The sequence below is a fragment of the Homo sapiens genome, chromosome 5 (assembly GCF_000001405.40).
Source record: "Homo sapiens chromosome 5, GRCh38.p14 Primary Assembly".
Classification (NCBI taxonomy): domain Eukaryota; kingdom Metazoa; phylum Chordata; class Mammalia; order Primates; family Hominidae; genus Homo; species Homo sapiens.
Window position 1 is genome coordinate 2,391,719 of NC_000005.10, and position 12,090 is coordinate 2,403,808.

The window sequence follows — 12,090 nt, forward strand, 5'->3', positions numbered from 1 at the left end:
GGTCTCCCCAGTCTCCCAGCCCGCCCCAGGTCCTGCCTCTCCGGGTCTCCCCCAGACAGGGCCCCAGCCCAGGGCGGCGGAGTTAGGTCTGTGGAGGGCCCAGAATCTGCATCTCCAACAAGTCCTGGTGACTTCCATGCTCCTGGCCCTGTGGTGACTGCCATGCTCCTGGCCCCATGGTGACTTCTGTGCTCCTGGCCCCGTGGTGACTTCCGTGCTCCTGACACCGTGGTGACTTCCATGCTTCTGGCCCCATGGTGACTTCCGTGCTCCTGGCCCTGTGGTGACTTCTGTGCTCCTGGCCCCGGGGACCCCAGTTGAACAAGCATTGCCCCAGGGAGTGACCCTTGACTTCCACAATCAATGACTTCTGTCATCACTTGCTTTTTAAAATTATTTTAGACATTTTCTATTGCGTTCCTTGCCCTTTTGTACTCCCTGCCACCAAGCACCCAAACTTTCCATTCCCCATTCTCTAATGGAATCATGTCACAATTTGGAAAAATCTCTCTCTTTATCTCTCTTACACACACACACACACACACACATCAGAGACACACATACTTTTGAAGCAAAACGTAATAATAGCCTTGCTTTTTCATTTGCTTAGTCTTGAGAAACTTTCATGATCTCAGCACTAACTCAAATTCTCAATAGGGTTAATACTTTCCATAAATTACGGCCCCTCCTTCTTTCCTTCCTTCCTTCTTTCTCTCCTCCCTCCCTCCCTCCCTCCCTTCCTTCCTTCCTCCCTCCCTTCCTCCCTCTCTCCCTCCCTTCTTCCCTCCCTCTCTTCTTTCCCTTTTTTTTCCCTCCGTTCCTCCCCTTTCCTCCTTCTTTCTTCTCTTCCATCTTCTTTTCCCTTTTTCCCTCTCTCCCTTCCCTCCTCCCATTTATCTCCTCCTTTCCTCCCTCCTTCCTCTTTCTCTTCCTTCCTCCCTCTTCTGTCCTCCTTCCTCCCTCCTTCCTCTCTTCTTTATTTTATAACACAGGCTGCCGTCAGGGCTACCCTCAGATGTCGTCTCTGTTCACCCTCATTCTCGTGCTTTTCTCTGCCTTTTGCCTGGGTTTGAGCTTCTGACTCCTAGAACTGATACCTCTCTTTTCCTGGAATTATTCCACTATTTGGTGAAATGCCTTCCTCTACCTTCCTAGAGAAGGTTTGGATTCTATCTCTTTTGGTAAAAGCTTTTTTAACTGTGCAGTCTAATATGGTAGCCATTAGGCACACATGACAATTTACATTTAAATTATTTCCAAATAAATACAATTTAGAATTCAGGTCCTCACCCCCATTTCTATATCATATTTCTAGTGCTCAGATATATTTCTAAGTGGTCAAAGATACTAGTGGGCATCAATTTAGGGGGCACAGAGAGACAGCACTCCCATCATCATGGAAGTTCAATGGCTTCCCTCAACGAAGTGTTGACCCATGGCTGTTCCCCCATATTGAAGACAGAGTTGCCAAATTGCTGACTGAGCTTCTGGGTACTTGGGAAGAGCTCGTCTGGTGGTGGATTTACATGGAGCTGAGACAGGACCATTTTTCTGTGTGTCAGTATCGAGCTAGCCATTCCCTCCAGAGGCGAATCCTTCAGCATTCTGTTGTGGGGGATACACGTCTTCCCTGTGGCATCGTGGACCTGCAGAAGGGGGTGGGAGTCTGACCCTGGGCAAGAGATAGGAGCTTTAATATTGAACAGGATGGGCTTATAAATTTCACTCAGAGGGGCCTGAAAAGCTAAGGAATCCACTCAAGCTATAATCCAGGAGAGGAAGAAGGTGGTCCCCAGAGGAGAACAAGGTTGAGAAAAAAATTACGCAAGCTGTTTTCTGTCTGCATCTGAGGCCAGTTTGTTGAGGACATTGATTGCAAGCCCTCCTCCTGCCCTGGCTGTGCCTGCTGACCCAGAAGCTACAGCCCTCACAGCAGGCTTTTCTGAAGGGCGCTGCTTATGGCTGGGAGGGGGCCCGAGATCAGGGCTCCTTACCTGGATTTCTCTCCATGTGGTCTCGGCTCGGTGGGGATCTGTCCCCACAGTGGGTCTCCCTCCTGGAGACCAGTGCTGTCCCCATCCCTCTGCAAGCAGCTCGCTGTGACCTTCCTCTGCCCCCCACCCACCTCAGCTTCCCAGCCACGGGCATGTCTTGGCATCTTCCATTTGTGGTGATCACTTCTCTAATAGTTTTTCTTTTTATTTTACACCTTCATCGTCTTTTACTGACATCTTGGGTTTTCTGGATGTAGAGAAACAAACCTGTGTTTGTCCTCCCGTGGTTATCCGGAACCTCCTGGTGCTTTTCAACTAAAACACGATCACACACAAAACAAAAAGAAAGGGAATGCCTATCTGTATTGGCAGAGAGCACCACCCATAATGTTAATAAAGCGGCTTATGGTTTATAAATTCGAGTTAATAAAGCGGCTTATGGTTTATAAATTACAAAAGTGTTACAGGATCTCAGTGAAGATCTCTGAGCAAGAGTGAGAGGACATAATTATTCTTGAGTTGAGAAAAACAATCGAAGAGGCAGTATATCATGTGGACTAGAGAAAAAAAAATAAAGGAGGAGTGTGACCAGTGGACTTAGTGTCTGTGGTCCAGGTGAAAATGATGCAACCCCATCATGCAGCCATGATCAGTGACCATTCTGGAAGTGGCCTCTATAGATGACAGACACTTGTCATCTCGAAGCAAGCTTGGGAGATGCTCCTGCTAACATAGTGACCCTCCCCAGAAAAGAGGTTAATCTCTCCAACGAACCCAGAAGTCCTCCTAGCCTGTGCCCCATCTCACTTTGCCCCTGAAAGAACAGGCTCACTTTGTATTTTTCTGCACGGTAGTAAAGCTGCAAGAGCAGCTTCAACATTGCCATCCTCTTTCCAGAGGAACTGAACATTGCCACTCTCTGTGGTGACGGATTACACTGGAGACATCAGCCAGGTCTACTGTGTGGGTCCAAAACAGCCACGCACCTGTGACGATTTTGTATCTAAAGACGAAGCTGGGAGTTTCTTGTCACTCTGCAAGCATGGCTGCCATTTACATACATCTCTCAGCATCACAGATTAGGACCCCATTGAAACAATGATCTATCTCCCTAGACCCAAGTGAAATAGATTAGGACAATTGTCCCTTTTGAAAGTTTTATTTCTAGTTTGTCTTTATTAGCATAAAGCTCTTAGTTCAACTATGTAATTAAAATTTAATAATGGGCAACTTATAGGAAATCTGTGAAGCTGGCAGTTCAGCCTCCAGCCGATGGCATCCTCAGCAGGCAGGCAGGATAAATCTGCTCACGTACGTCTGTGTCCTGTTAGCTGCTTCCGTACGTTCACTTTCCAGAAAACATGGAATGCTCAGTAGGCATGCCGACCTCAATGTCGTCCCTTTGAAAGAGACAAATTCACGCTGGTGAAGACAGGCCTGAAAGGCTTACCAGAGGCGGCCAGGAGGGCCCCCGCGCGTCTTCCTGGGGTGTGTCCCTTCCAGAGGTGCTCCGGAGCCACAGGGCCCGTGCCCCAGGCTATGCTTTCTCTGCTCTTGGAAGGGGCTCCTGCTTACAAACTCCAGGCAAATTTCTAGTCCCAGATGGCCCGCAGCAGAGCTCCGGATGGCTTCTACACCTAGCAGATGAATGTGGGGACTTCCTGAGCCAAGATGACAACTGGGCTCCCAAGGGTGGCTCTGTAAATGTCTTTGTCTTCTGGTGTCTGTCGTCTAAGGAGAACTTCACTTAATGATCTGTCATGAGAAATTATCCTGGTGAGAAAAGGTCTTAGGACAAGTGTGCCTGAGTCTAAAGCTGCTAATCCTTATTGTGTACCAGATAGAACAGTTAGCACCCTCTTACCATGAGAATACATGGCAATGCTATATTTCTGTAAAATACTTTCTATCTTCCAGATAGTGGTGACTCCCATTCAGAGAGTAATGCTATCCATTGGCCTGTCATATTACCCACTGCAGGCTCCTGACAACCAGCACAATAAAACCACATTTCAGCACACTCAATGCATCTGGCACTTTTGCCACTCTTCAATGATGAGTAAGTTGCTTGATGAATTTACCTTATCCCTTTGCACCTCAGTTTCTTCATCTGTAAGATAAGGATGAATACCACCCCCTACTTCATAGGATTTTTGTGTGTATGTGTGAGAATGGAGATAATACAAGTAAAAGTGTGTGTTATTTCTGCCTCATACAGAAGTGCAGAGTTAACATGTAGCACATGTGACTATCATTATTATTTTGTCAAAATGTCCCAAAGAAATCAAATTCACAGATGTATTAATGCCTTCTGTTTTCAAGTCATGTCGGGTGCTATGGATATCACAGAAACACAGGACACAGACCGTGCCTTCAGAACTCCTTGTCCAGGTAAGTGGGCCTGGTACTCCCAAATGTAGTCAGATGCCAACATAGTGTTTACCTGCCACCAAAGACAAACCCAAAAGCAAGATCACAAGGGAAAAGGAGGTGACTCATGCACTGTGGCTCTGCACAAATGATCACACCTGCATTTTCAGCTGGCCAGGGTGAGGGAGCGCCTCTACTTCTAATGAGAGTTTCTTAGCAACTCCTCTCCTCCAGTGTATGAGATACTCATTGTGTTTTGTTTCATTTCAATTCAATATTTTCACTTATATTTATGGCCTGTGATATTGATAAATACTTTGATAATGTCATTTTAAAATAAGACTATTATAACATAAGCTCAGGGAGAGAGGGAAGAAACCAAAATCATGTGTTTTAATTCCATTACTGTAACAAATGACAATGGAAACATTACGATTGTTCCTTTGATATTGTTTAGAACCATGTCCCACATGTATACATGCTGTGTTTAACAAAATCTTAGAGTGTGGATTGGGTCTCCTCCTTTTGCACAACATTTTGCTCTAGGAGTCCTGCTCCCCTTTGCATGTTTGTGTGGGTGGCTATCAGTCTAGGAGGTCACCTCTGGAATTATCTGCACTTCACTGGATATTTAGGTGGCCCCTGGACCCGTGCCAGGCATGGTGACTACCTCTCTGCCCTTCTAGCTGAGTGGGTGGGGCATTCGTTCAAAGTGGATAGAATGGGGTCTTCAAGAAAATCTGGCTTCTCCCACTTTGAGGTGTGTGGGGAGCTCAGGACCTGGTGAAGCCGTGGATTCCAGCTCAGTGTCTAGGGGAAGATGGGGTTCTGTTTCTTACCACCCCCAGGTGACGTCAGTGGTCTAATCCTTGGACCACACTTGGGCAGCCAAGGTCTGGCTCACATCGAAGTGTCCTGGACCCCACCGGTCATTTCCCAGTGCTTATTTTCTGCAGTTTGTCTAACAAGAGGCAAGTCAGTGTCTGAATTCCGGGGCCCATCAAATACAGGAGCTTTCTTTTGCTATTGATCCAGCTCATTCCCTGTGTGTCCTCTCCTGCCCCTGGGGTAATGGGGATCCAGTCTCAGTTGTCCCACTGCCTCCTCTCCCAGGGCCGTATCTCGATGATGAGGGGAATTCCTAGGACCCAGGGCAGTGTCATCAGACCACCCAGGAGCCCCTTCTGCCTATCTGCAGGGCCCTCCAGTTTGATGACCACACAGAGCCTCTCTCCTCTCAGCCACAGGCTTCCAGAAGCTTCAGACAGGCATTAAGACACAGAGTCTCATGAGACTTGGGTGCCATCTGACTGGTCCCTCCTGAAACCATGAATGGGGAATGGGGAGAATAAATATGGAGGAATACTTGCAAAATATCCCAACACTTTAGTTTATCCTTTAAAATGTCAAATGGGGTGAAATAGTTCTGTGTAAGAATCGAGGGAGCTAGTTTTTCATTGTGCCGCCCTCATGAGCCTTCAGGGGTCTCTTCCACCCAGGATGTCCCTTGGGCCTGCTTGTATTTTTAGTAGAGATGGGGTTTCACCATGGCCAGGCTGGTCTTGAACTCCTGACCTCAGGTGATCTGCCCGCCTTGTCCTCCCAGAGTGCTGGGATTATAGGCGTGAACCACCATGCCCAGCCAGTCTCAGGTAGTTCTTTACAGCAATATGAGAACGGGCTAATACAGTGCCTTACCCCAAATCTGCACAGCATTGTGTGTGCATGAGGACACCCAACTCACGCTTGTTATGGGCCACAAGGCCATGGCCTTCCCCTTCCCCTGCCGTCAGGGCAAACTGGGTTCACTTCTGCTGTTGACCTGTGCTTGCCCATCCAAGGGCACTGAACCCACGAGGCACAACCTGGGCAGCATTTGTGGAGCCTGTTGGGGAGGCCGGGGGGAGGGTTGGGGTGACCCAGCCTGGCCCTGCCTTCGACCCTGCTGGGCCACCGCTCCAGTTCCCACCACGCTCAGGAAAGCCCCTGCTCTACCTGGAGCGGATTCAAGCACCGGTTCCAGACTCAGAGATCTTGCTCCTCTTGAATGGGATTTTCTCTGTGTTTTAGACTAAATCATTTAATCATCTCAGCCTCTTAATGAAATGGCCGTGAGTTATGTCAGTCTTCACAAATTATTTACAAAAATAAAAAACAACTGTCCCCATTCCTAGGGCCTTGCTCTCTCCACTCCTAGTAGCTCTGAGGGTCCAGCAGGTAGCAAATGTGGGGGCAGAGCCTGTCCTTTTAGTTCAGCCTCAGGAGCCTCCTGTGAGGGGAAGGACAGGTGTATGTCCTGCTCACACAGATAAGGAAGTATCTCACACCCAAGGGCCTGATGTTTCACATCTGACAAAACTCCCAAGATTGGGATGCTTCGCAGCCTCTCCACGGTGCCAAAAAATGAGGGAGGTGGTGTAGCTCAAGGCCTAGATTCTAACGCACCACACGTGTGTATCCACCACAGAAATGCAGCTGCCCTGGAGCTGGCTTACAGGCTTGACACTAAGCTAGTCCTTACATTGAAGGGATGTGCATAACCCCTAAGGAACGCACCAAAGTTGTAACTTCTCAGGTCCCAACATATATGGTCATGCCCAGGAAGGCAGCTCTAAGCTGGGTGCAGAAGCCATTGGAGAATAGCCCTTCAGCCAGAGAGGAGGAGAAGGAGGAGGAGGAGAATGAGGAGAACGTAAAGAGGTGTGGGGAGCTTGCTTCCACCTTGGTTTTCTGAGACAAGCCTGAATTCCGAGGGCGGTCATGGCCTGCTCCCACCCATGCTGGGTGAAGCCTTAGGTCTGCATGTCTGGGAGCAGTGCATTCTAGCCCCACCTAGGCCAGTGGGATTGGCCATGTGGCCATAATCCAGGTGATCTGAATTTCACTATGTTTTAATCTGTAATATGGAATGATTTCTATTTGCCAAGCTTAGTACATAGGGTTAGGGTGAGGAGTGACAGGATCTAAACACACTTTGAGAAAGGAAAGTGTTATGCTTCTCCACCCTGCCAGAGTCAGAGGGGTGATCAGGGCTGCTCCGCCACAAGCTGAAGGTTTCACTGTGCTATAAAGGAAACTTCCATCCAAAGGAATCGTTCTGCTAGCAAAACACAGACATGCACACAGCTGAAACAACTTCCACGCACAGTGTATGATTTCCTATTCTGCGCACAGAGAGAAAGGACAGATGTGTTAGCAGAGGATTACTGTTGGAATAATTATGTTAGCTAAGACACAAATGGGCTCCCATGCCAGCTCCAGTTTTGGGTTCTCACTGAATTGAATTCTCAGAGGGGGTCCTGCTTACACATAATTGTGCCTCAGAGCTAGAAACAAGGAGGCTCTATTTGATCAACTAGCTGGAGGATTTGAAAGGTAACCCTCTCATTCCAACTGCTTTTCTAAATATAACATCCTCAGGGGAACCCATCCTTCTGGAGGGAAAATATTAAAGAGAAAGAAGAAATAGGTAGAGAGTAAACAAAATCCATCTCCCCTCTGCAGAGTCCCCACCTTGACTTCTTTTAAGTGTTGTTGGAAAACCTCCTGCCCCTCGCTCTGTCTTTCTCCCTTCCCCTCCCACTCCACAAACACAGTTTTTCACTTTTTATCTATATATACAGTGTCTATAAATCAGATATTTTGGTCCCCAAATACATGAGTATTTACCAAGAAAATAAGATGCTTTCCAGAGAAAGCCAGCATTTTTATGGAGGTGCACCCACACTCAAAAACACATGTGTGCCAGTGAGCTCTTGCCTGAAGCAGGCCCAGGCTACTGGGGCTTCTGCGGAACCCTGCCTCTGCCCAGGTCCCCCCCACCTCACAGAGTCAACCTCAGGCCTGGGCCATGCTCTTCTGCCAGCTCCAGCCATCGCCCCACCCACAAGCAGGCCTGCAAGCAGAGTGTCAGCATGACTTGGCTCTCGTGAGATGGCACGTGGCTGGAGAGTGATGTTAGCCTTGGGGACACGTTTTAGTAAGAATCAGCCCATGACACGCTACCCCATGCTAATTTGAGATAAGACTGCCAATTATTTCCTCCTTTCTTTCAAAACTTTTCCTTTTTGCTACTGAAAGATACGTTCATTTAAAAGAGGTGGCTCATGTTTCTGATCCTCAGATACGGCTCTGAAAGAATTGTTTATGTTTATGGGTTCAGTGAAACACACAAGGGCCTGAAGGAGCTGCAGCCTAGGTTCCTGCTCCCCACCAAACCTGGGAGCAACAACGTTTTTGGAGAAACATGGGGTCCAGCTGCTCAGCTGGGTAGGGGTGAACCAGAGGACCAGGACCCTGACTGCTGTCCAGAGACCAGCTGCCTGCTGCAGCCCTGCTACTCTCCGGTTAACAGAGGTGAGGCACTTACATTGCAGGGTCAGAGCACACAGGCATTCAATGTTTTCTTCACTTACATGAATTAGAATTATTGCAAGTCTGAGGCAACTCACAACTTGTACAACTAGGGCTGCCCCCAGTGATGTGACACCAGCTGAGGAAGGAAATGGGTGGATCATCCAACAAACAAGCATTTAGGTTTCATGATCTGATATGGTTTGGCTGTGTCCCCACCCAAATCTCATCTTGAATTGTAGGTCCCACAATTCCCACACGTGGGAGGGACCCGGTAGGAGGTAGCCAAATCATGGGGGCTGGTCTTTCCTGTGCTATTCTCATGATAGTGAATAAATCTCATGAGACCTGATGGTTTTATAAAGTAGAGTTTTCCTGTACAAGTTCTCTTCTTCTCTTGTCTGCTGCCATGTGAGACGTGCCTTTTGCCTTCTGCTATGACTATGAGGCCTCCCTAGCCATGTGGAACTGTGAGTCCATTAAACATCTTTCTTTTGTGAATTGCCCAGTCTTGGGTATGTCTTTACTGGCAGTGTGAAAATGGACTAATACGGTAAATTGGTATTGGGAGTGGGGTGCTGCTGAAAAGATACCCAAAAATGTGGAAGCAACTTTGGAACTGGGTAACAGGCAGAGGTTGGAACGATTTGGAGGGCTCAAAACAAGACAGGAAAATGTGGGAGTTTGGAACCCCCTAGAGACTTGTTGAATGGCTTTGACCAAAATGCTGATAAAGATATGGACAGTAAAATCGAGGCTGGTCTCATATGGAGATAAGAAACTTACTGGGAATCCCAGCACTTTGGGAGGCCGAGGCAGGCAGATCACAAGGTCAGAAGATCAAGACCATCCTGGCTAACATGGTGAAACCCCGTCTCTACTAAAAATACAAACAATTAGCCGGGTGTGGTGGCAGGCACCTGTAGTCCCAGCGACTCGGGAGGCTGAGGCAGGAGAATGGTGTGAACCCGGGAGGCAGAGCTTGCAGTGAGCCGAGATTGTACCACTGCACTCCAGCCTGGGTGACAGAGCAAGACCCCATCTAAAAAAAAAAAAAGGGAAACTTGCTGGGAACTGGAGCAAAAGTGATTCTGATTATGTTTTAGCAAAGAGATTGGTGGCATTTTGCCCCTGCCCTAGAGATTTGTGAAACTTTGACCTTGAGAGATGATTTAGGGTATCTGGTGGAAGAAATTTCTAAGCAGCAAAGCATTCAAGAGGTGACTTGGGTGCTGTTAAAGGCGTTCAGTTTTAAAAAGGAAACAGAGCAAAAGGTTTGGAAAATTTGCAGGCTGACAATGCAATAGAAAAGAAAATTCCATTTTCTGATGAGAAATTCAAGCAGGCTGCAGAAATTTGCATAAGTAACGAGGAGTTGAAGGTTAATCACCAAGACAATGAAGAAAATGTCTCCGGGGCATGTCAGAGACTTTGCAGCAGCCCCTCGCATCATAGGCCCAGAGGCCTGGGAGGAAAAATGGTTTCATGGGCCAGGACCAAGGTCCCCATGCTCTGTTCAGCCTAGGGACTTAGCACCCTGCATCCCAGCCACTCCAGCTATGACTAAAAGGGCCAAGGTACAGCTCATGCTGTGGCTTCAGAGGGTGCAAGCCCCAAGCCTTGGCATCTTCCACATGGTGTTGAGCCTGTGGGTGCACAGAAATCAAGAATTGAGGCTTGGAAATCTCTGCCTAGATTTCAGAGGATGTATGGAAATGCCTGGATATCCAGGCAAAGGTTTGCTGAAGAGTCAGGGCAGTCAGGGAGAACCTCTGCTAAGGCAGTGCAGAAGGGAAATGTGGGGTGAGCACCCCCACACAGAGTCAACACTGGGGCACTGCCTAGTGAAGTTCTGAGAAGAGGGTCACCATCTTCCAGACCCCAGAATGGCAGATCCACTGACAGCTTGCACTGTGTGCCTGGAAAAACCTCAGAAACTCAATGCCAGCCTGTGAAAGTAGCCAGGAGGGAGGCTGTACCCTGCAAAGCCACAGGGATGGAGCTTCCCAAGACCACGGGAAACCACCTCTTGCAGCAGCATGACCTGCATGTGAGACATGGAGTCAAAGGAGATCATTTGGCATCTTGACTGCCTGGCTGGATTTTGGACTTTCATAGGGCCTGTGGACCCTTTGTTTTGGCCAATTTCTCCCATTTGGAATGGCTGTATTTACCCAATGCCTGTACCCCCATTTTATCTAGGAAGTAACTAACTTGCTTTTTGATTTTACAGACTCATAGGCAGAAGAGACTTGCCTTCTCTCAGATGAGACTTTGGGCTGTGGACTTTTGAGTTAATGCTGAGTTAAGATTTTGAGGGACTGTTGGGAAGTCGTGATTGGTTTTGAAATGTGAGGACACGAGATTTGGGAGGGGCCAGTGATGGAACAATAACCTTTGTCTGTGTCCCCATCCAAATCTCAACTTGCAGTGTAGCTCCCACAATTCCCACATGTTGTGGGAGGGACCCGGTAGGAGGTAATTGAATCATGGGGGCCAGTCTTTCCCATGCTATTCTCATGATAGTGAATAAGTCTCATGAGATCTGATGGTTTTATAAAGGGGAATTTCCCTGCACAAGTTCTCTTCTTCTCTTGTCTGCTACCACGTGAGACATGCCTTTTGCCTTCCACCATGATTGTGCAGCCTCCTCAGTCACATGGAACAGTAAGTCCAACTAAACCTCTTCCTTTTGTAAATTGCCCAGTCTTGGATATGTCTTTATCAGCAGCATGAAAACAGTCTAATACATAATCACAGTTATGTGCTTAACTGATACTGCAGACAGTAAGCCAGTGGGTCACCTTTTAAATCCACAGGGGAACACACTTCATCCCTGCAAGCCCTGAGAAGAAAGAACATCTGTGCATCTTCCCAGAGCCTTCATAAGTCCCGAGTGTGTCCCAGTGATTTTTTTAAACAAGTTTAATATGAAGAAATACTATTACAAACAAACAACTATTAGAAACAAAAGTTTGGGCTTCATTGAGACATTCCTTCCATGAAACAGAAATGAGGGCACAAAGCCCAGGCCACTGCCCCTGGGCTGTAGGGGGCAGCCAGGGCATAGGCTGGGGCTGAGGAGGGCCTGGTGCTTCTCCTTCCCTCTCCTTTCCCCACATAGCACCTCACCCTTCTCTAGACCTTCTTGGAGTATTCCTGTGTAGTCTCTGATGCCACCACAGCCATGGCAACAGCAACTTCTATTACTTCTCTCTTCATTTCTTTAACAATCCCACTTCTTACAGTTTTGAAGTAATAGCACAACACGTTCACCTACCTTTGATGTTTCCTAAGATATCTAGTTTTTAGTTGGGGTGGGGGAACATTTCAGCTAACCTTTCAGAAAGTATTTCAGTTGTACAAAAATAGT

General features: G+C 47.7%; 1 annotated feature.

The window, feature by feature from the left end:
- Window positions 1,325-2,524: an enhancer, noted in NCBI's record as "BRD4-independent group 4 enhancer chr5:2393157-2394356 (GRCh37/hg19 assembly coordinates)". NCBI's record gives its function as "activates an origin of replication core promoter dependent on BRD2, P300/CBP, MED14 and CDK7 cofactors, and independent of BRD4, by STARR-seq in HCT116 cells {active_cell/tissue: HCT116}" and the evidence as "EXISTENCE:reporter gene assay evidence [ECO:0000049][PMID:35650434]".